The 24,946-nt window shown below is 40.2% G+C and overlaps 1 long non-coding RNA gene across 1 annotated transcript in view, besides 2 other annotated features; it reads left to right on the top strand.

Annotated features, from left to right (window-relative positions):
• The first annotated feature begins 412 nt into the window (after positions 1 to 412).
• Positions 413 to 24,946, top strand: part of LOC105375849 (uncharacterized) — a 39,940-nt gene continuing 15,406 nt past the window's right edge. The window contains exons 1-5 of the long non-coding RNA XR_928910.2: positions 413 to 466; positions 13,234 to 13,323; positions 20,581 to 20,742; positions 22,588 to 22,669; positions 24,622 to 24,753. This is a non-coding gene — a long non-coding RNA (uncharacterized LOC105375849). The remainder of the gene's footprint in view (positions 467 to 13,233; positions 13,324 to 20,580; positions 20,743 to 22,587; positions 22,670 to 24,621; positions 24,754 to 24,946) is intronic.
• Positions 19,213 to 19,713: an enhancer, noted in NCBI's record as "H3K4me1 hESC enhancer chr8:57328141-57328641 (GRCh37/hg19 assembly coordinates)". NCBI's record gives its function as "activates a minimal SCP1, AML or CMV promoter by ChIP-STARR-seq in primed H9 embryonic stem cells {active_cell/tissue: H9 hESC(primed)}" and the evidence as "EXISTENCE:reporter gene assay evidence [ECO:0000049][PMID:30033119]".
• Positions 19,714 to 20,214: an enhancer, noted in NCBI's record as "H3K4me1 hESC enhancer chr8:57327640-57328140 (GRCh37/hg19 assembly coordinates)". NCBI's record gives its function as "activates a minimal SCP1, AML or CMV promoter by ChIP-STARR-seq in naive and primed H9 embryonic stem cells {active_cell/tissue: H9 hESC(naive and primed)}" and the evidence as "EXISTENCE:reporter gene assay evidence [ECO:0000049][PMID:30033119]".

The raw sequence follows: 24,946 nt of genomic DNA, 5'->3' as shown, positions 1-24,946 counted from the left end.
ACATTTCCCTAATTACTAATGAGATCAAGCATCATTTCATATGTTAATTGATCATTTGGATATCCTTACTGTTTTGCTTTTCAAGTGTGTTTTTCAGGGTACATATCTGAATGATTTTCTGCTCTGCGGTGAATTGCCTTAGACCCATCAAATGCATGAATTCTTTAAGCTATAAATTACCTTCAAGAATCATTTTTTATCACCTTGTTACAATCCACACAAGCCTATCCATCACCCTGACTATAGACTTACTCCATGACATTGCTAATTTATCTTTTGCTGCCTAGCAAAATACTGATAGGCTTTCTGTTTTTCCTTCCAGCTTTTGTGTTTAGAAGTCCTGAATGGAGTGTTGGGGTTAGAACAGCCCTCTCCCATAGTCAGCCTTACCATTCTGCTGGTCTCCTTGCAGGCTCCTTGGGATTAGGAGAACTGGGCAGGTCCTCCTAGGACCTTCCACAGCAAGGTGAGGAGCACACCCCACTTCTGAGGGATTCACAGGTTTTGATGACTGAGACATTTCAAGGAGCCACTCCATCCCAGGCCCTCAGCGAGGCGCCCCCTTCCCTTAGCCACTAGGCTTTAGTCTGTCACCTCGCCCCTGGGGTTTCTTGTTGCTCTCTTCCCTGGAGAACTCTGGAGGACCTCAGGCACACCCTTTGCTGGCCACCTTGCTTGCTCTCATTTTGATATTGATCTAGAAAGAAATTGGAAGGGAGAGGGAGTTATAGACACGAAATGAAAGAGCCAAATTTCTAAAATTCCTCTTTCAATTTATCAATCAAGTAGAATACTAGATCTTCAAAGAATCCAGAAAGGACTGAGTAGAGGATGGGCCATGAGGAAGGCACACAATTTGAAATCAGCAGTGAAGTGATAGGAGAGGCTACTCTTGTTAAAGAATTGTCTGGCGGGATGGAGACTTAGGTGAATTTGGAACTGGCAATAGAGAATTTGCCCAGAAAGTCATTATTTCCTTTTCATTACCCAAATTACTAACTGAATAAATACTTATGGAGCATATACTATAGGCCAGGGGTTCCCAATCCCCAGGCCACGGACCAGTACTGGTCCATGGCCTGGTAGGAATCCAGCAGCACAGCAGGAGGTGAACGACAGGCTAGTGAGCATTATAGCCTGAGCTCCGCCTCCTGTCAGGTCAGCAGCAGCATCTGATTCTCACAGGAGCGCGAACCAACCCTACTGTGAACTGTGCATGGGAGAGATCTGGGTTGCACGCTCCTTATGAGAATGTAACTAATGCCTGATGAGCTGAGGTGGAACAGTATCACCCGGAAACCACCCCACCCTGGTCCATGGAAAAATTGTCTTCCACAAAACTGGCCCTTGATGCCAAAAAGGTTGGGGACCACTGCTATAGGCCATGCACTACCCTCAGCTCAGAAGCTACTGAAAATGAAAGTCCACCTGCTTTCTCAAAATTTACATTCTATGGGTAGAGTGAGGCAATAAACAACAAGTGACAGGGAGATTTTAGGTAGTTCTAAGTGCCATCATTTTTCTTCATAAGAATTCTTAAAGGCAGATTTATACAATGTTATTGGTGAAATTCGTCTTTCACCTTCTGTAACTCCCACAGAAGTAACCACTGTTAACAGTTTAACTGTTAACAGTTAACAGGTGTGTTAACTGTTTTCACAATATTGATTCTACCTATCCATGAGCATGGAAGGTTCTTCCATTTGTTTGTGTCCTCTTTTATTTTGTTGAGCAGTGGTCTGTAGTTCACCTTGAAGAGGTCCTTCACATCCCTTGTAAGTTGGATTCCTAGAGATTTTATTCTCTTTGAAGCAGTTGTGAATGGGAGTTCACTCATGATTTGGCTCTCTGTCTGTTATTGGCATATAAGAATGCTTGTGATTTTTGCACATTGATTTTTGTATCCTGAGACTTTGCTGAAGTTGCTTATCAGCTTAAGGAGATTTTTGAATGAAACGATGCGGTTTTCTAGATATACAATCATGTCATCTGCAAACAGGGACAATTTGACTTCCTCTTTTCCTAATTGAATACCCTTTATCTTTCTCCTGCCTGATTGCCCTGGCCAGAACTTCCAACACTATGTTGAATAGGAGTGGTGAGAGAGGGCATCCCTGTCTTGTGCCAGTTTTCAAAGGGAATGCTTCCAGTTTTTGCCCTTTCAGTATGATATTGGCTATGGGTTTCTCATAAATAGCTCTTATTATTTTGAGTTATGTCCCATTAATACTTAATTTATTGAGAGTTTGTAGCATGAAGTGTTGTTGAATTTTGTCAAAGGCCTTTTCTGCATCTATTGAGATAATCATGTGGTTTTTGTCTTTGGTTCTGTTCATGTTCTGGATTACATTTATTGATTTGCATATGTTGAACCAGCCTTGCATCCCAGGGATGAAGCCCACTTGATCATGGTGGGTAAGCTTTTGCATGTGCTGCTGGATTCAGTTTGCCAGTATTTTATTGAGGATTTTTGCATCAATGTTCATCAGGGATATCGGTCTAAAATTCTCTTTTTTTGTTGTGTCTCTGCCAGGCTTTGGTATCAGGATGATGCTGGCCTCATAAAATGAGTTAGGGAGGATTCCCTCTTTTTCTATTGATTGAAATAGTTTCAGAAGGAATGGTACCAGCTCCTCCTTGTACCTCTGGTAGAATTTGGCTGTGAATCCATCTGGTCCTGGACTTTTTTTGATTGGTAGGCTATTAATTATTGCCTCAATTTCAGAGCCTGTTATTGGTCTATTCAGGGATTCAATTTCTTCTTGGTTTAGTCTTGGGAGGGTGTCTGTGTCCAGGAATTCATCCTTTCTTCTAGATTTTCTAGTTTATTTGCGTAGAGGTGTTTATAGTATTCTCTGATGGTAGTTTGAATTTCTGTGTGATCAGTGGTGATATCTCCTTTATCATTTTTTATTGCATCTATTTAAGTCTTCTCTCTTTTCTTCTTTATGAGTCTTGCTAGTGGTCTATCAATTTTGTTGATCCTTTCAAAAAACCACCTCCTGGATGCATTGATTTTTTGAAGGATTTTTTTTTTGTGTCTCTATCTCCTTCAGTTCCACTCTGATCTTAGTTATTTCTTGCCTTCTGCTAGCTTTTGAATGTATTTGCTCTTGCTTCTCTAGTTCTTTTAATTGTGATGTTAGGGCGTCAATTTTAGATCTTTCCTGCTTTCTCCTGTAGGCATTTAGTGCTATAAATGTCCCTCTACACACTGCTTTAAATGTGTCCCAGAGATTCTGGTATGTTGTGTCTTTGTTCTCATTGGTTTCAAAGAACATCTTTATTTCTGCCTTCATTTCATTATGTAACCAGTAGTCATTCAGGAGCAGGTTGTACAGTTTCCATGTAGTTGAGCGGTTTTGAGTGAGTTTCTTAATCCTGAGTTCTAGTTTGATTGCACTGTGGTCTGAGAGACAGTTTGTTATAATTTCTATTCTTTTACATTTGCTGAGGAGTGCTTTACTTCCAACTATGTGGTCAATTTTGGAATAAGTGCGATGTGGTGCTGAGAAGAATGTATATTCTGTTGATTTGGGGTGGAGAGTTCTGTAGATGTCTATTAGGTCCGCTTGGTGCAGAGCTGAGTTCAATTCCTGGATATCCTTGTTAATTTTCTGTCTCGTTGATCTGTCTAATGTTGACAGTGGGGTGTTAAAATATCCCATTATTAATGTGTGGGAGTCTAAGTCTCTTTGTAGATCTCTAAGGACTTGCTTTATGAATCCGAGTGCTTCCGTATTGGGTGCATATATATTTAGGATAGTTAGCTCTTCTTGTTGAATTGATCCCTTTACCATTAGGTAATGCCTTCTTTGTCTCTTTTGACCTTGTTGGTTTAAAGTCTGTTTCCTCAGAGACTAGGATTACAACCCCTGCTTTTTTTGTTTTCCATTTCCTTGGTAGATCTTCCTCCATCCCTTTATTTTGAGTCTATGTGTGTCTCTGCACGTGAGGTGGGTCTCCTGAATACAGCACACTGATGGTTCTTGACTCTTTATCCAATTTGCCAGGCTGTGTCTTTTAATTGGAGCATGTAGCCCATTTACATTTAAGGTTAATATTGTTATGTGTGAATTTGATCCTGTCATTATGATGTTAGCTGGTTATTTTGCTCATTAGTTGATGCAGTTTCTTCCTAGCATTGATGGTCTTTACAATTTGGCATGGTTTTGCAGTGGCTGGTACTGGTTGTTCCTTTCCATGTTTAGTGCTTTCTTCAGGAGCTCTTGTAAGGCAGGCCTGGTGGTGACAAAAATCTCTCAGCATTTGCTTGTCTGTAAAGTATTTTATTTCTCCTTCACTTGTGAAGCTTAGTTTGGCTGGATATGAAATTCTGGGTTGAAAATTCTTTTCTTTAAGAATGTTGAATATTGGCCCCCACTCTCTTCTGGCTTGTAGAGTTTCTGCCGAGAGAGCTATTCGTCTGATGGGCTTCCCTTTGTGGGTAACTCGACCTTTCTCTCTGGCTGCCCTTAACATTTTTTCCTTCATTTCAACTTTGGTGAATCTGATAATTATGTGTCTTGGAGTTGCTCTTCTCGAGGAGTATCTTTGTGGCGTTCTCTGTATTTCCTGATTTTGAATGTTGGCCTGCCTTCCTAGGTTGGGGAAGTATTCCTGGATAATACCCTGCAGAGTGTTTTCCAACTTGGCTCCATTCTCCCCGTCACTTTCAGGTACACCAGTTACACGTAGATTTGGTCTTTTCACATACTGCCATATTTCTTGGAGGTTTTGTTTGTTTCTTTTTACTCTTTTTTCTCTGAACTTCTCTTCTCGCTTCATTTCATTCATTTGATCTTCAATCACTGATACCTTTTCTTCCAGTTGATTGAATTGGCTACTGAAGCTTGTACATTCATCACGTAGTTCTCATGCCATGGTTTTCAGCTCCATCAGGTCATTTAATGACTTCTCTACACTGGTTATTCTAGTTCGCCATTCGTCTAATCTTTTTTCAAGGTTTTTATCTTCTTTGTGATGGGTTCGAACTTCTTCCTTTAGCTCGGAGAAGTTTGATCGTCTAAAGCCTTCTTCTCTCAACTCGTCAAAGTCATTCTCCGTCCAGCTTTGTTCCGTTGTTGGCAAGGAGCTGCATTCCTTTGGAAGGGGAGAGGTGCTCTGAGTTTTAGAATTTTCAGCTTTTCTGCTCTGTTTTTTCCCCTCTTTGTGGTTTTATCTACCTTTGGTCTTTGATCATGGTGACATACAGATGGGGTTTTGGTGTGGATGTCCTTTCTGCTTGTTAGTTTTCCTTCTAACAGTCAAGACTCTCAGCTGCAGGTCTGTTGGAGTTTGCTGGAGGTCCACTCCAGACCCTGTTTGCCTGGGTATCAGCAGCGGAGGCTGCAGGACAGCAAATATTGGTGAACAGCAAATGTTTCTGCCTGATCCTTCCTCTGGAAGCTTCATCTCAGAGGGGTACCCGGCCATGCGAGGTGTCAGTCTGCCCCTGCTGGGGGGTGCCTCCCAGTTAGGCTACTCGGGGGTCAGGGACCCACTTGAGGAGGCAGTCTGTCTGTTCTCAGATCTCAAGTTGCGTGCTGGGAGAACCACTACTCTCTTCCAAGCTGTCAGACAGGGACATTTAAGTCTGCAGAGGTTTCTGCTGCCTTTTGTTTGGCTATGCCCCACCCCCAGAGGTGGAGTCTACAGAGGCAGGCAGGCCTCCTTGAGCTGCAGTGGGCTCCACCCAGTTCGAGCTTCGTGGCCGCTTTGTTTACCTACTCAAGCCTTAGTAATGGTGGGCGCCCCTCCCCCAGCTTCGTTGCTGCCTTGCAGTTCAATCTCAGATTGCTGTGCTAGCAATGAGAGAGGCTCCGTGGCTGTGGGACCCTCCGATCCAGGCAGGGGATATAATCTCCTGGTGTGCTGTTTGCTAAGACCATTGGAAAAGCGCAGTATTAGGATGGGAGTGACCTGATTTTCCAGGTGCCATCTGTCACCCCTTCCCTTGGCTAGGAAAGGGAATTCCCTGACCCCTTGTGCTTCCTGGGCAAGGTGATGCCTCACCCTGCTTTGGCTCATGCTCGGTGGGCTGTGCCCACTGTCCTGCCCCCACTCTCCGACGAGCCCCAGTGAGATGAGCCCAGTACCTCAGTTGGAAATGCAGAAATCACCTGTCTTCTGCGTTGCTCATGCTGGGAGCTGTAGACTGGAGGTGTTCCTATTTGGCCATCTTCCTGCCACCTTTTTTTTTCCACTTCATATATCTTGGCAATATTTCCACATCAACATGTGAGTCTACCTGATGCTCTTTAACTACTGCATGGAATTGTGTCATATATATGCTTTGGGGTTTTTTTAACAACTCCACTAGTAATTAATTTTTTCACGTTACAAACAGTGCTTCAGTAAACATCCTTTTAAATACATATGCACTATATATCCCATTCTATGTAAAAGGCACGTGTCTGTGTATGTGTGTGTGTGTGTAGTAATGGTACTAGTAGTAATACATATTGCAAATATTCCATAGGATTAACTTTTAAAAGTAGAATTGCTGGATTACCTTTATGTTAAAAACCCTCAACAAAGTAGGCATTGAAGAAACGTACTTCAAAATAATAAGAGCCATCTATGACAAATCCACAGCCAACATCATACTGAATAAGCAAAAGTTGGAAATGTTCCCCGCCTGAAAACCAGAACAAGACAAGGATGTCTTCCCTCACCACTCTTGTTCAACATAGTACTGGAAGTCCTAGCCAGAGCAATCAGGCAAGAGAAATAAATAAAAGGCACTGAAATTAAAAAAGAGGAAGTCAAACTATCCCTGTTTGCAGGCAATATGACTCTATACCTAGAAAACCCCTTGGTCTTTGCCCAAAAGCTCCTTGATCTGATAAACAACTTCAGCAAGTTTCAGGATGCAAAATCAACATACAAACGTCAATGGCGCTGGGCATGGTGGCTCACACTTGTAATCCCAGCACTTTGGGAGGCTGAGGGGTTTATATCACGAGGTCAGGAGTTTGAGACCACCCTGACCAACATGGTGAAACCCTGTCTCTACTAAAAACATAAAAATTAGCTGGGTGTGGTGGCACGTGCCTATAATCCCAGCTACTCAGGTGGCTGAGGCAGGAGAATCACTTGAACCCGGGAAGCAGAGGTTGCAGTGAGCTGAGATCGTGCCACTGCACTCCAGACTGGGTGACACAGCAAGGCTCTGTCTCAAACAAACAAACAAACAAAAAATCAGTGGCATTCCTATACATCAACAACATCCAAACTGAGAGCCAAATCAAGAATGCAATCCCATGCACAATATCCACAAAAACAATAAAATACCAAATAATACAGCTAACCAGGTAGGTAAAAGATGTCTACAATGAGAATTACAAAACACTGCTGAAAGATATCAAAGAGGGCATAAACAAATGAAAAAAACATTCCATGCTTATGGATAGGAAGAATCAATATTGTTAAAATGGCCACAGTGCCCAAAGCAATTTACAGATTTAGTGCTATTCCTATCAAACTACCAACAACAGTCTTAATAAAATTAGAAAAAACTCTTTTAAAATTCATATGGAACCAAAAAAGAGCCTTACTAGCCAAGGCAATACTAAGCAAAAAGAACAAAGCTGTAGGCATTACATTACTGAACTTCAATTTATACTACAAGGCACAGTAACCAAAACAGTATGATCCTGGTGCAAAAACAGACACATAGACCAATGGAACAGAACAGAAATCCAGAAATAATTCTGCCCATCTACAACCATCTGATCTTCCACAAAGTCGACAAAAACAAGCAGTGAGGAAAGGACTCCCTATTCAATAAGTGGTGCTGGGATGACTGGCTAGTCACATGCAGAAGATTGAAACTGGACATCTTCATTAACCATATACAAAAATCAACTTCAGATGGATTAAAGCCTTAAATAAAAAACCTAAAATTACAAAAACTTTGGAAAATAATCTAGGAAACACCATTGTGGACATAGGATCTGGCAAAGATTTTATGAGGAGGACACTAAAAGCAATTGCACCAACAACAACAAATTGACAAATGGGACCTAATTAAAGAGCTTTTGCACAGCCATAAACAGACAACCTACAGAATGGGAAAACATATTTGCAAACTATGCATCTGACAACAGTAACTATCAAGAGAGTAAACAAGCAGAATGGGAGAAAATATTTGCAAACTTTGCATCCAACAAAGGCTTAATGTCCAGAATCTGTAAGGAACTTAAACAAATCAGCAAGCAAAAAACAGGCCCATTAAAAAGTGGACAAAGAGCATGAACAGACACTTCTCAAAAGAAGACATACGTGAGTCCAACAAGCATATGAAAACATGTTCAACATCACTAGTCATTAGAGAAATGCAAATCAAAACCACAATGAGATACCATCTCACACCAGTCAGAATGGTTATTACTAAAAAGTCAAAAAATAACAGATGGCAACAAGGTTGCAGAGAAAAGGGAATGCCTATACACTACTGGAAGGAACATAAATTAGTTCAGCCATCCTGAAAAGCAGTTTTGCGATTTTTCAAAGAACTCAAAGCAGAATTACCATTCAACCCAGCAATCCCATTATTCGATATATACCCAAATATAAATTGTTCTACCATAGAGATGCATGCATGCGTATGTTTATCACAGCACTGTTCACAATAGCAATGACATGGAATCAACCTAAATGACTGTCAATTGTAGACTAGAGAAACAAAACGTGGTGTATATACACCACGAAATACTATGCAGCCATAAAAAAGAACAAGATAATGTCCTTTGCTGCAACATGGATGGAGCTGGGGCCATTGTCCTAAGCAAACTAATACAGTAATAAAAACCCAAATACTGCATATTCTCATGTATAAGTGGGAGCTAAACATTGAGTACATATGGACACCAAAAAGGGAACAACAGACGCCAGGGCCTACTTGAGTGTGAAGGGAGAGAGGAGGGTGAGGACTGAAAAACTACGTATCTAGTACTATGCTTATTACCAGGGTGGCAAAATAATCTGTACACAAAACCCTTGTGACATGCAATTTACCTACATAACAAACCCTCACATGTATTTCTGAACCTAAAATAAATGTTAAAAATAAATAAATAAATATTTTTTTTAAATCGCTGGATCAAAGGACATGTATGTTTAATATTTTGTAGTTATTGCCACATACTTCTAAAGTACTGTACCAATTTATATTCCCAGCTACAATATATGTGTGTCCTTTCCTCATACTCTTGACAGTGTTAAATAATTTCAGTTACTTAATTTTGCCACAATGATGGGTAAAATAGTATCTTGCATTAATTTGTGTTAAGTCTCTCTGTACTAGTGAGTCTGAGCTTCATTTTTTGTTTCCTGAACATTCTATAAATTTTTATGTATTTTACCTTTTATCTGATTGCATTTTTCTTATTGAGATATAGATAACTTTTAATGGAATGTACCAAATAATCCTTTTTCTGTATATTGTACTATGTAACTAAGAAGTTAAAGTTTTCCATCACAGTGTATCTTAAGCTATATATGTAATGCCTCAAATTGCAAGTCTCTTGAAAAATCTTGTGAATTTAACTTTCTGAAAACTCCAGGAATCACATAATTTTGTTATATGTGGGAAGCTACTCCAAATAGAAAACAAGCCTGTCTCCTGATAGTAAACTGACAATTTTAACATTAAATCATCCTTTGGACAATAAAGCATAAAAAGGGGAAGCATTTGAGAGTTGGAATACATCATGTGGAAACTCCTTTGTGCATAAGGAATCTCATTTTCAAAATGTGTCAACCACTAACTTATGCATTAAATTATTGGCCCAATCAGCCTCCCCAAATTGTAGCATGGTCTAGTAATGACTGCTGTAGCAAATGGAAGGCGTAGAGCCTTTGGACAGAAGAATACTGAGCTGTTAAAAGAGTACCAAGCAGAAATGGTTTTATGTGATTAGAGATCTCTAAATTGAATCCTGCCCTCCTTCTTGAAGCATCACGGGAATATTTGTCAAGTTGAGCATCTACTATACCTGGAAGTCTTCAAATGAAACAAAAACTGGATTTTATATGACTGATTTATTGCTGTTCAAGGTCTTAATATCAAGGTATTCTAGCAAGGGAAAAACTCTATAGACTTTTGATCAGAATTTTAAAACCACTAAAATAAAACATTTCACTCTATATCAGCCAAGCACTACCAATCAGCTGTTCTAAAAAGCTACTTACTGGTTTACTCTATTATTAATGACTTCCAGAGGTCCACCTCCGCACTCCTCCCTGCTTGGATTCCCTTTCTTCATCATAGCTCTCATACAACACTCTTTTTTGTTTGGTGGTTTGTTGGATTTTGGGCTGTCACAGCACTTGGTTCACTTTATAACTATTTCTTAATTCATGTCTCAACAAGTAGAAAGCCCCAGGAAAGTAGGAACTGTGTCTATTTTGCTTGTCATAGGCATTCAAGAAGTATCATTATGAGCCCTTGTTCCCATCCAAACTCATAGCAAAGATATGTAAATTGTTTTAATTTAAAAGACATAATTATGCCTAGAGATAATGAACCCATGCGCAGCAAAGAAACAGAATAGGTAAGCACCACACTAAGTTAGAGCTGAATGGTGGGCTTGTGGGCTCCCGGGCTCTGAGGCTTGTGCCTGTCTGATGCAGGCAGCCTTCTTTCCTTCTTCATGATAGCTGAGAACAAGTGGCAAGGTGTAAGAGACAGCTCCACTGCCAATGACCTCAGATAGAGACAGTCCTCTTGCATGTACTGAAAGCAACAGGAAGAGTAAGAAGACACAGTTGAGGAATAAGATCTGGCCAAAGCCACTTGCCAGCTTTACCATTAGATTTGCAATATTATTTACATCATTATGGGGAAGTAACCCCAAACCTCCAATGTAAAATGTATTTCTGAACCAAAAGTGCAAAACTACTAAACAGGTAAAAGTGAGGAAAGAGAGAAAAACAAATATATCTATTTGATATGAGCAACACTATAAAATTCTAAATTACATAAGGAAAATAATATTAAAAACAAGAGCCAAAAATGCAACATTGACTTCACTCCTGATGAAATGCAAATATTAAAGGAATCTGAACAGAAAGTTTAAAACAAGTGTTTCAGTATTTTCAAAGCGATAAAGACAAGAAGGCCATTCATTAAGAAGAAGCAAGAAATCATAAAATTAAAATGTGTTAGCAATAAATTATGTCTATAGTCATTGGGAAAAAGTGTGTTTAAACAAGATTTATTCTACTCTAGACAGAATTAAAGACTTCGTTCAGTAATAAAAAGATAGTGATGAGAAATTAACCCACAACAAAATGAAGAATTTTTAAGTGACAAAAATTGATTGAGTGGCTTGTTCCCTAAGATGAGACTACAAAGAATGGCATAGAAGAAATAGTGAAAAAAAAAATAGTAGCCCTTGAAGAACATGAGGATGGCTATAATAAAAAAGATGAATAATTACCACTATTCACAATGATGTGGAGAAGTTGAAACCCTTACACACTGCTAGAAAACAGTTTGGCAATTCCTCAAAAAGTTAATTATAAAGTTACCATAAAACCCAGAAATTTCATTTTTAAATATATACCCAAGAGAATAGAAAAGATATAGGCCAGGCACGGTGGCTCACGCCTGTAATCCCAGCACTTTGGGAGGCTGAGGTGGGCAGATCACAAGGTCAGGAGTTCAAGATCAGCCTAGCCAATATGGTGAAACCCTGTCTCTACTAAAAATACAAAAAAAAAGTAGCCGGGCAAGGTGGCACACGCCTGTAATCCCAGCTACTCAGGAGACTAAGGCAGGAGAATTGCTTGAACCTGGGAGGCAGAGGTTGCGGTGAGCCAAGATCGCACCACTGCACTCCAGCCTGGGCGACAGTGGGAGACTTTGTCTCAAAAAAAAAAAAAAAAAAGAAAAGAAAAGAAAAGAAAAGATATGTCCACACAAAAACGGTTTCATGACTTTTCATGGTAACATTATTCATAATGGCCACAAAATGAAAACAACCCAAATATCTATCAACTGATAAATGGATAAATAAAATGTGGTATATCCACAAAATGAAAACAACCCAAATATCTATCAACTGATAAATGGATAAATAAAATGTAGTATATCCATATAATAAAAAATCATTTGACAATAAAAGGAAATTAAATATTGATACATGCTACAGCATGGGTGAAACTTGAAAACATCATACTAAGTAAAATAAGACACAAGAGTCACATATCGTATAATATAATTCCATTTATAGCAAATATCCAGAATAGATAAATCCATAGAAACAGCAAGCAGATTAGTGATGGTCAGTGGCTCAGAGACAGAGGGAATGGAATGTCACTACTAATGGTTATTATGTTTCTTTTGGGGTGATCAAAATGTTCTGAAGCCAGGTACAGTAACTGATTCCTGGAATCCCAGCACTTTGGCAGGTGAAAACAAGAGGATCACTTGAGGCCAGGAGTTCAAGACCAGCCATTGCAACATAGTGAGACCCCATCTCTACAAAAAATTTAAAAATTAGCCAGGCGTGATGGTGTGCACCTCTAGTCCTAGCTGCTCAGGAGCCTGAGGCAGGAGGATTGCTTGAGCCCAGGAAGTCAAGGCTGTAGTGAGCTATGATTGTCCCCCTGTACTCCAGCGTGGGCGACAGAGACAGACGCTATGTGTAATAAATAAATAAACAATTTTTAAAAATGTTTTAATATTACAGAATTAATAGTTGTGACGGTTACAAAACTTGGTCAATATACTAGAAAACCACTTAATTACACAATTTAAAAGACTGAATTTTATAGTATGTCAATTATATCTCAATATAGCTGTTGTTTTTTTTAAATAGTGGCTACAAATTTTATGGGATTGAAGACAAACTTTAATCCAAAGATGGCAAGCATGAAGACGGTGCCAAGCAGTTTACATAAAAGCAAATCCATACCTGGTACACTATAGTAAAACTTGTAACATCATCAAGAAAGCAAAAAATCTTAAAAACTACCAGAGATAAAAGAAAAATTAAATACAAAGAAATAACAGGCAGACTGGAGATTTTATAATAGAAACAATACATCCTAGGAGCTGTAGGAAATTATCTTTTAAAGGCAGTAGAGGAAAAGTGGGATATGGAGTTGGGGAATAGATTCAAGCCCAAATCTTACATCCTTTTAAACCAGCATTTAACGGTGTAAAAAAAGGAAGATGTTTTGAATAATATAAACATTAAGAACTTTTGTAACTCTTTCTAGAAGATATGCTAAAGGATATACTTCAGCAGAAGGAATAGCAAACGGAGAAGAAAAGAAGAGGGAAAGGAAATAAGATAAATCCAGAAACAGGTAAACAAGAAATTAAGTATAATCAACACAGAGACTCTTAGACTTAGCTCTTTTCTGTTCTGGAAACATTAATATTAATTTAGTACTGACGGTTTCAAAAAGCAAATTTTATGTATTTTTAAAGCAAAATAAAATTTCCAGACAAAAATAATGAGGAAGAGAAGAGGCAGAAAATTCAGTGGGTAAAAATAGTGGCAGAGTCAAAACTGTTTTCAGGCCGGGCGCAGTAGCTCATGCCTGTAATGCCAGCATATTGGGAGGCTGAGGCAGGTGGATCACCTGAGGTCAGGAGTTTGAGACCAGCCTGGCCAACATGATGAAACCCCATCTCTAGTAAAAATACAAAAAATTAGCCAGGTGTGGTGGCAGGCACCTGTAATCCCAGCTACTCAGAAGGCTGAGGCAGGAGAATTGCTTGAACCCAGGAGGCGGAGGTTGCAGTGAGCAGAGAAGAATGGTAGCTAGTTTCCAGAGCACTCCTTAGATGCTATCTTTCCTCTCTTTTGCAATAGATAAGAGTGACTACAGGTTCTGGAACTGGACTGCCTAGGTTACAATGTTGGCATCCCAACATTGTAATCTTAGGCAAGTTACCTAAACTTTAGTGTGTTAATGGGATGATACTATTACCTAAATTACATTTGTTGTGAGAGAAAATTGGCTACACTGAAACTATGCTTCCAAAAGTAGAAATCTTGGAGAGAAGATAAAAATTCTTTTTTTTCTGTTATTATTATACTTTAAGTTTTAGGGTACATGTGCACAATGTGCAGGTTAGTTACATATGTATACATGTGCCATGCTGGTGCGCTGCACCCACTAACTTGTCATCTAGCATTAGGTATATCTCCCAGTGCTATCCCTCCCCCCCTCCCTCCACCCCACAACAGTCCCCAGAGTGTGATGTTCCCCTTCCTGTGTCCATGTGATCTCATTGTTCAATTCCCACCTATGAGTGAGAATATGCGGTGTTTGGTATTTTGTTCTTGTGATAGTTTACTGAGAATGATGATTTCCAGTTTCATCCATGTCCCTACAAAGGACATGGACTCATCATTTTTTATGGCTGCATAGTATTCCATGGCGTATATGTGCCACATTTTCTTAATCCAGTCTATCATTGTTGGACATTTGGGTTGGTTCCAAGTCTTTGCTACTGTGAATAGTGCCGCAATAAACATACGTGTGCATGTGTCTTTATAGCAGCATGATTTATAGTCCTTTGGGTATATACCCAGTAATGGGATGGCTGGGTCAAATGGTATTTCTAGTTCTAGATCCCTGAGGAATCGCCACACTGACTTCCACAATGGTTGAACTAGTTTACAGTCCCACCAACAGTGTAAAGTTGTTCCTATTTCTCCACATCCTCTCCAGCACCTGTTGTTTCCTGACTTTTTAATGATCGCCATTCTAACTGGTGTGAGATGGTATCTCATTGTGGTTTTGATTTGCATTTCTCTGATGGCCAGTGATGATGAGCATTTTTTCATGTGTTTTTTTGGCTGCATAAATGTCTTCTTTTGAGAAGTGTCTGTTCATGTCCTTCGCCCACTTTTTGATGAGGTTGTTTGTTTTTTTCTTGTAAATTTGTTTGAGTTCATTGTAGATTCTGGATATTAGCCCTTTGTCAGATGAGTAGGTTGCGAAAATTTTCTCCCATTTTGTAGGTTGCCTGTTCACTCTGATGGTGGTTTCTTTTGCTGTGCAGAAGCTCTTTAGTTTAATTAGATCCCATTTGTCAATTTTGGCTTTTGTTGCCATTGCTTTTGGCGTTTTAGACAGGAAGTCCTTGCCCATGCCTATGTCCTGAAAGGTAATGCCTAGGTTTTCTTCTAGGGTTTTTATGGTTTTAGGTCTAACATTTAAGTCTTTAATCCATCTTGAATTGATTTTTGTGTAAGGTGTAACAAAGGGATCCAGTTTCAGCTTTCTACGTATGGCTAGCCAATTTTCCCAGCACCATTTATTAAATAGGGAATCCTTTCCCCATTGCTTGTTTTTGTCAGGTTTGTCAAAGATCAGATAGTTGTAGATATGTGGCGTTATTTCTGAGGGCTCTGTTCTGTTCCATTGATCTATATCTCTGTTTTGGTACCAATACCATGCTGTTTTGGTTACTGTAGCTTTGTAGTATAGCTTGAAGTTAGGTAGTGTGATGCCTCCAGCTTTGTTCTTTTGGCTTAGGATTGACTGGCAATGCGGGCTCTTTTTTGATTCCATATGAACTTTAAAGTAGTTTTTTCCAATTCTGTGAAGAAAGTCATTGGTAGCTTGATTGGGATGGCATTGAATCTGTAAATTACCTTGGGCAGTATGGCCATTTTCATGATATTGGTTCTTCCTACCCATGAGCATGGAATGTTCTTCCATTTGTTTGTATCCTCTTTTATTTCATTGAGCAGTGGTTTGTAGTTCTCCTTGAAGAGGTCCTTCACATCCCTTGTAAGTTGGATTCCTAGGTATTTTATTCTCTTGGAAGCAATTGTGAATGGGAGTTCACTCATGATTTGGCTCTCTGTTTGTCTGTTGTTGGTGTATAAGAATGCTTGTGATTTTTGTACATTGATTTTGTATCCTGAGACTTTGCTGAAGTTGCTTATCAGCTTAAGGAGATTTTGGGCTGAGACAATGGGGTTTTCTAGATATACAATCATGTCATCTGCAAACAGGGACAATTTGACTTCCTCTTTTCCTAATTGAATACCCTTTATTTCCTTCTCCTGCCTAATTGCCCTGGCCAGAACTTCCAACACTATGTTGAATAGAAGTGGTGAGAGAGGGCATCCCTGTCTTGTGCCAGTTTTCAAAGGGAATGCTTCCAGTTTTTGCCCATTCAGTATGATATTGGCTGTGGGTTTGTCATAGATAGCTCTTATTATTTTGAGATATGTCCCATCAATACCTAATTTATTGAGAGTTTTTAGCATGAAGGGTTGTTGAATTTTGTCAAAGGCCTTTTCTGCATGTATTGAGATAATCATGTGGTTTTTGTCTTTGGCTCTGTTTATATGCTGGATTACATTTATTGATTTGTGTATATTGAACCAGCCTTGCATCCCAGGGAAGAAGCCCACTGGATCATGGTGGATAAGCTTTTTGATGTGCTGCTGGATTCGGTTTGCCAGTATTTTATTGAGGATTTTTGCATCAATGTTCATCAAGGATATTGGTGTAAAATTCTCTTTTTTGGTTGTGTCTCTGCCTGGCTTTGGTATCAGAATGATGCTGGCCTCATAAAATGAGTTAGGGAGGATTCCCTCTTTTTCTATTGATTGGAATCATTTCAGAAGGAATGGTACCAGTTCCTCCTTGTAACTCTGGTATAATTCAGCTGTGAATCTGTCTGGTCTTGGACTCTTTTTGGTTGGTAAGCTATTGATTATTGCCACAATTTCAGCTCCTGTTATTGGTCTATTCAGAGATTCAACTTCTACCTGGTTTAGTCTTGAGAGAGTGTATGTGTTGAGGAATTTATCCATTTCTTCTAGATTTTCTAGTTTATTTGCGTAGAGGTGTTTGTAGTATTCTCTGATGGTAGTTTGTATTTCTGTGGGATTGGTGGTGATATCCCCTTTATCATTTTTTATTGTGTCTATTTGATTCTTCTCTCTTTTTTTCTTTATTAGTCTTGCTAGTGGTCTATCAATTTTGTTGATCCTTTCAAAAAACCAGCTTCTGGATTCATTAATTTTTTGAAGGGTTTTTTGTGTCTCTATTTCCTTCAGTTCTGCTCTGATTTTAGTTATTCCTTGCCTTCTGCTAGCTTTTGAATGTGTTTGCTCTTGCTTTTCTAGTTCTTTTAATTGTGATGTTAGGGTGTCAATTTTGGATCTTTCCTGCTTTCTCTTGTGGGCATTTAGTGCTATAAATTTCCCTCTACACACTGCTTTGAATGCGTCCCAGAGATTCTGGTATGTTGTGTCTTTGTTCTCATTGGTTTCAAAGAACATCTTTATTTCTGCCTTCATTTCGTTATGTACCCAGTAGTCATTCAGGAGCAGGTTGTTCAGTTTCCATGTAGTTGAGTGGTTTTGAGTGAGATTCTTAATCCTGAGTTCTAGTTTGATTGCACTGTGGTCTGAGAGATAGTTTGTTATAATTTCTGTTCTTTTACATTTGCTGAGGAGAGCTTTACTTCCAAGTATGTGGTCAATTTTGGAATACGTGTGGTGTGGTGCTGAAAAAAATGTATATTCTGTTGATTTGGGGTGGAGAGTTCTGTAGATGTCTATTAGGTCTGCTTGGTGCAGAGCTGAGTTCAATTCCTGGGTATCCTTGTTGACTTTCTGTCTCGTTGATTCTAATGTTGACAGTGGGGTGTTAAAGTCTCCCATTATTAATGTGTGGGAGTCTAAGTCTCTTTGTAGGTCACTCAGGACTTGCTTTATGAATCTGGGTGCTCCTGTGTTGGGTGCATATATATTTAGGAGAGTTAGCTCTTCTTGTTGAATTGATCCCTTTACCATTATGTAGTGGCCTTCTTTGTCTCTTTTGATCTTTGTTGGTTTAAAGTCTGTTTTATCAGAGACTAGGATTGCAACCCCTGCCTTTTTTTGTTTTCCATTTGCTTGGTAGATCTTCCTCCATCCTTTTATTTTGAGCTTATGTGTGTCTCTGCACGTGAGATGGGTTTCCTGAATACAGCACACTTATGGGTCTTGAGTCTTTATCCAATTAGCCAGTCTGTGTCTTTTAATTGGAGCATTTAGTCCATTTACATTTAAAGTTAATATTGTTATGTGTGAATTTGATCCTGTCATTATGATGTTAGCTGGTTATTTTGCTCGTTAGTTGATGCAGTTTCTTCCTAGTCTTGATGGTCTTTACATTTTGGCATGATTTTGCAGTGGCTGGTACCGGTTGTTCCTTTCCATGTTTAGCGCTTCCTTCAGGAGCTCTTTTAGGGCAGGCCTGGTGGTGACAAAATCTCTCAGCATTTGCTTGTCTGTAAAGTATTTTATTTCTCCTTCACTTGTGAAGCTTAGTTTGGCTGGATATGAAATTCTGGGTTGAAAATTCTTTTCTTTAAGAATGTTGAATATTGGCCCCCTATCTCTTCTGGCTTGTAGGGTTTCTGCCGACAGATCTGCTGTTAGTCTGATGGGCTTCCCTTTGAGGGTAACCCGACCTTTCTCTCTGGCTGCCCTTAACATTTTTTCTTTCATTTCAACTTTGGTGAATCTGACAATTATGTGTCTTGGAGTTGCTCTTCTCAAGGAGTATCTTTGTGGTGTTCTCTGTATTTCCTGAATCTGAACGTGGGCCTGCCTTGCTAGATTGGGGAAGTCCTCCTGGATAATATCCTGCAGAGTGTTTTCCAACTTGGTTCCATTCTCCCCATCACTTTCAGGTACACCAATCAGACGTAGATTTGGTCTTTTCACATAGTCCCATATTTCTTGGAGGCTTTGCTCATTTCTTTTTATTTTTTTTTCTCTAAACTTCCCTTCTCGCTTCATTTCATTCATTTCATCTTCTATCACTGATACCCTTTCTTCCAGTTGATCGCATCAGCTCCTGAGGCTTCTGCATTCTTCACGTAGTTCTCGAGCCTTGGTTTTCAGCTCCATCAGCTCCTTTAAGCACTTCTCTGTATTGGTTATTCTGGTTATACATTCTTCTAAACTTTTTTCAAAGTTTTCAACTTCTTTACCTTTGGTTTGAATGTCCTCCCATAGCTCAGAGTAATTTGATCGTCTGAAGCCTTCTTCTCTCAGCTCATCAAAGTCATTCTCCGTCCAGCTTTGTTCCATTGCTGGTGAGGAACTGCATTCCTTTGGAGGAGGAGAGGCGCTCTGCTTTTTAGAGTTTCCAGTTTTTCTGTTCTGTTTTTTCCCCATCTTTGTGGTTTTATCTACTTTTGGTCTTTGATGATGGTGATGTACAGATGGGTTTTTGGTGTGGTTGTCCTTTCTGTTTGTTAGTTTTCCTTCTAACAGACAAGACCCTCAGCTGCAGGTCTGTTGGAGTACCCTGCCGTGTGAGGTGTCAGTGTGCCCCTGTTGGCTGGTGCCTCCCAGTTAGGCTGCTCAGGGGTCAGGGGTCAGGCATCCACTTGAGGAGGCAGTCTGTCCCTTCTCAGATCTCCAGCTGCGTACTGGAAGAACCACTGCTCTCCTCAAAGCTGTCAGACAGGGACATTTAAGTCTGCAGAGGTTACTGCTGTCTTTTTGTTTGTCTGTGCCCTGCCCCCAGAGGTGGAGCCTACAGAGGCAGGCAGGCCTCCTTGAGCTGTGGTGGGCTCCACCCAGTTCAAGCTTCCCGGCTGCTTTGTTTACCTAAGCAAGCCTGGGCAATGGCGGGCGCCCCTCCCCCAGCCTCGCTGCCGCCTTGCTGTTTGATCCCAGACTGCTGTGCCAGCAATCAGCGAGACTCCATGGTCGTAGGACCCTCCGAGCCAGGTGCGGGATATAATCTCGTGGTGCGCCGTTTTTTAAGCCTGTCGGAAAAGCGCAGTATTAGGGTGGGAGTGGCCTGATTATCCAGGTGCCGTCTGTCACCCCTTTCTTTGACTAGAAAAGGGGACTCTCTGACCCCTTGCGCTTCCCCAGTGAGGCAATGCCTCGCCCTGCTTCAGCTTGCGCACGGTGCGCGCACCCACTGACCTGCGCCCACTGTCTGGCACTCCCTATTGAGATGAACCCAGTACCTCAGATGGAAATGCAGAAATCACCCGTCTTCTGCGTTGCTCACGCTGGGAGCTGTAGACGGGAGCTTTTCCTATTCGGCCATCTTGGCTCCTCCCCCAAAAATTCTTAAAAGAATAGGAAAGAAGGTGGAAAAGTCAACGCTTCCAAACTTTGGTATTCTCAAGTGCACTTTGCCAAGAAGTTCCCTCTTGTCCCATCCCAACAGGATAGGAACAGGTTCTAGCCTTGGAAGGCAGTGAGGGCTGTCAATCAAATAGAGCACTTGGGTTGTGAGAAAACAAACATGCTGACCAAACCAGAGACAAGTTCAACAGAGGATTAGTTGAGACAAGGTCAAGCGAGTTATGCCTATTCATTTCTCTAACAAATAGCTATTAGACATTCTTCTAGGTTGTGTCCACCAGAAAAGATATTCAAAGTGTAAGTTCTAGGTTACAAACCCAACATCAAGCTCACTCAGCAGATATTGAGGGAGGGAGGGCTGAGGGACTGCTGAAGTTGGAGACTGAAATAAAGCAAATTCTACTAAGAGCTCAAAACCCATTGTCTTGAAGCAAAGTCAAGCTTTGCCTGAACTGATGGCCATGCTTTGGCTTTCTTAAAGTGGCCAGGTTGTGTTACAGGCTTGTGAGCAACTGTCTGATAAACAGCATCTACTTGGCTCCACACCTGCCAGAAGCTACCTAAATAGATTACATGGATGGGCTGCATTGTTCTCTGGCTTCATGTTGAGTTTGACTGAGTGGACATACCAGCAGATTAAAGAGTAAGTTATGAATTATTTATACCTCCAGCTTCTTCCCTGCAGGGTTGTCACTGGCTAACTGGGCCCCCGAACTAAAGGTCTCAGATTCCTCTCCATCTTTCCTCTCTGCCTTCGGTTCTGGTAATGTCCCTGCCTCTGCTCCTTCAGACCCAGGGCAGCCTTCTGTCACCAGCCACTGGTCACCTCATTCTCCCATGCAGTTTCCTCATGCCCTGTCCACATCTCCGTAAATAGTCTCTTGATTAAACTCGACTTGAACACCCTGTGTGGTTGCTGAGACCCAGCATGTAGTAATGAGCAGATAAAAATCCCTGAGATTGCAGAAGAAAAAAAGATCTCAGAAGCAGCTCCATGGGGAGACTGGCACCTGCAGTCAGACCAAGCTGTTCAGTATGGTTGGCCATTTGCAGAACTACAAGCAGAAAAATGGGACTGGTGAAATCACTGCAGTGTCAGAGGGATTTCACATTCCTCAGACGACCAGAATTGTGAGCATTTCCACTTTGTGTCCTTTCCTCCCTTCTTAGAGTGGCTCAAAATATATTATAACAACATTCAAATCTGCTTACAGGAAGGAAGACTCAACTCCAGGAAAGAGACAATATTTTATTAATGAAAACACACACACACATACAGTAATTTTCGTGGATTATTTTAATAAAGTATAAGTCTCTAGCGCCCCTAAGTCCTTGGAGTTTGACAGAATCGATAAAGAAAGCTGTGTTCTGCAACTCCTACTTCTCTTAAATGGATTTTGTTCTGTTAGAGTTGGTTTTATTTATGTGTATGTTTTTAATTATATATATACATTTAATTGTATAAATTTTTCAGATGTGATATTGTGGAAAGAGTACCAGGACAGGGTCTAGCTTTGGGTCACTTGTGTGACTTACGCATGACCTCCCCAAGCCCTGATTCCTTTTGATCAGTTAGGGAGCGATGATAGCCATCAATCTCATTTGGGGCATTATTGAAATGGATGTCTTTATTTTAGTTTCACGAGCTCTGCAGGCCTAGACTGGCTGCACGTTGTGCTCTGCATAAAATAGGATGTTATGTAAAAACAAAACCTAATATCTAATAAGGGAGAAACACCTTTCTAAATTTTATGATAGCGGATCCAATTTGCATTTCTATATTCAACTAAAAATATTTCTTCAAAATCACTTTTATTAATTTTTTGCTATCACTTTTAATCTAGTCTAAATAGTCTGGGCAAACTACATTTGTTACAATTAACCTTGTACCTATTATGTTGTAAAAATTTCAAAGCTGGCTTGTACAATTAAGAAAATTTCACAACAGCCCCAAATGGTAAGTGTTCTATCAAGTCTTCCAGGCCATTTTATTAGCCAATGTAGTTTCTTAGTGTTAGGCTCACTGTTGAACTTTACTTTGATGTCAAAATTCTGGCAATAGGCCAAATAACTTCAAAAGATCCATTACTGTCCTACAACTCTATTTCAGAACCATGGATATATTTCAGTAAGTTCCAAAAGGTAAAAGGAAACCAGGTATCTATCCACAATAAACTTGAAATATAAAAAACTATCAAAGTGTTTATCTTTAAATCTACTGTGATTTTTTGCATCTATTTCATGTAAAGAGTAAGGTTTTATGTACTTTATGAATGGCAGAAATCCTGGTTTGCTCATTAAGCTATTAATTAATAGCTACTGTATCCTTATAACGTGAAACACTCACTATGGGGTAACAAAGCACATCAATCTCTCTAGGTAAGATCTATTTTGGATTCTCTGAGAGCAATGCATTTTTCCTCCATGACATATAACTGGAATTAAATATTTTTACTCAATTAGTTGTTTTCTATCTGTCTCCCACTAGACTTACTACGAAAAAAATAATCCTCGGTGCTTTGTCATAGCTGTAATCCCTGGAGCCTAGTATACAACTTTCAACAAAACAGGTATTTGAAAAATGTTTGTTAAACACATGAAAAAAAAAAGCTTAACATCACTGATCGTTAGAGAAATGCACATCAAAACCACAATGAGTGAGATAACCACATCTCACACCAGTCAGAATGGCTATTATTAAAAAGTCAAAAAACAACAGATACTGGTGAGGTTGTGGAGAAAAAGGAATGCTTTTACACTATCGGCAGGAGCATAAATTAGCTCAACCACATGGAAGACAGTGTGGCTATTCCTTAAAGACCTAGAACCAGAAATACCATTCGACCCAGCAATCCCATTACTGGGTATACACCATGAGGAATATAAATCATTCTATTATAAAGATACATGCACGTATATGTTCACTGCAGCACTATCCACAATGGCAAAGACATGGAATCAACCTAAATGCCCATCAATAATAGACTGGATAAAGAAAGTGTGGTACATATACACCACAGAATACTATGCAACCATAAAAAGGAAAGATATGTCCTTTGCAGGGACATGGATGGAGCTGAAAGCCATCATCCACAGCAAACTAATGCAGGAACAGAAAACCAAGTATTGCATGTTCTCACTTATAAGTGGGAGCTGAGTAATGAGAGCACATGGATGGACACAAGGAGAAGGAACAACACACACTAGGGCCTGCCATAGGGTCGGGAGTGGGAGGAAGAATGGCTAATGCATGCTGGGCTTAATACCTAGGTGATGGGATGATTTGTGCAGCTGACCACCATGGCACACATTTACCTATGTTGTAAACCTCCACATCCCGCTCATGTACCCTTGAACTTAAAATGAAAGTTGGAAATTTAAAAAAGAAAAACGTTGGTTAAATAAATGAATGGCTTAAAAATCAGCTGAATGGATAGCACACAAATGGCATATGTACTTAAAATTGATTATCAATAGAAGGCAAAAATAAACAGATCAGACAATAATTCAGGAAAAGTGCTGTCACTGTGCACTGCAATGGAGAAAATGGAATCAGAGCTGTGATGGGATGGAGGACCCACTCGTCTAACAATGTGGTGTTTAGGCAGGATGGAGCCAAGAGGGCTCTGGGAGGTGGGAATCAGGCCTGGGCCTCACATTACTAAATCTTACATACATTGTCATAGAGTCCACTCAAAGTTCTGGAAGAAGATTATGCTCATTATAGAATACATAGCAAGCATCACGAGTTAATGCTTTTTTAAAAAATAAATCCTGTAGTTGTGTCATTATCAAAATTATACTACAGTGTATTTTCTGGGTTAAAAATGTAACAGTCAATTTTTAAAGCCACAGGTGTGGTGACTCTTATTTGGCATTTCTTCATTTTTCAGTATTTAGTAGAGACAACACATGGAAGGGCCACTGCCTCTCTCTGTCTCTAAACTGTCAATTGGGACTGTCAATTGTCAATTGTGGAAGAAGAGAAGAGAGCTCATTCCAGGCTGGGAAAAGTGTTAGCGAGTGAGAGAGTTGGGAATATAAACAGCTTGCTCCTTGGACTCTGGGTAAGCTAGGTGGCACAGAACTTAAGTGACAGGGAAAAAATCCAGAAAAAAATCTAACAGAAAAACTAGTTAGAATCAAATTACAAAGACATTAAATGACAGGCAAAGGCATTTAGACTACGTCCACCATTGGATCCCTCAGTCACAGTGGTCACATAGTCACTTCTTTCTACAGTGCCTCTGATACCTGCCCTTCCTTTCCATTTTCAAAGCTGCCCGTTTGGCCTGCTCAGGCGGGTCCTCAGTTCTGCTGAGGGTGCAACCTCCCAGGTCACCAGTCCCTATCAGGAAGGTTTCACCGTGCTGATGGAGGCAAGGACGAGACTAGCAGGATGTGTGATAACCACCAGGCAGTCCTCTTCTCCCTTTAATTTAGGATTCTTGATCTCCTATGTTTGATGTTACACAGTAACACAAACTCAGCTGTTTAAAACAACTTTATTTATTTCACACAGTCTACAGGACAGAAGAAGCCTGAGCACAGCATGGCTGGGTCCTCTGTTCCAGGTGCTGACAAGGACATCTGAAGCTTACGTTTCTCATTCGAGCTCATGTGGAGTAGCAGGGATCCATTCCTGTGGTTGCAGGTCTGAAGTCCTATTTCTTTGCTGGCTGTCAGAAGCCACTCACAGTCATTCCTTGTCACATGGTTCCCTCCACCTTCAAATCAGCATGGAGAATCTCCCTCATGCTGAATTCCTCTTACCCTTCTAGTCTCTTCTGTCAGCAAGAGCCTGGTCAGCCCAGTCTCCTCTAATGGGCTTACCTGGTTAGATGTGA

The sequence above is a fragment of the Homo sapiens genome, chromosome 8 (assembly GCF_000001405.40).
Source record: "Homo sapiens chromosome 8, GRCh38.p14 Primary Assembly".
Taxonomy (NCBI): Eukaryota; Metazoa; Chordata; class Mammalia; order Primates; family Hominidae; genus Homo; species Homo sapiens.
Note: the sequence above shows the minus strand (reverse complement) of the source record. Positions and strands in the feature narration are given on the sequence as shown.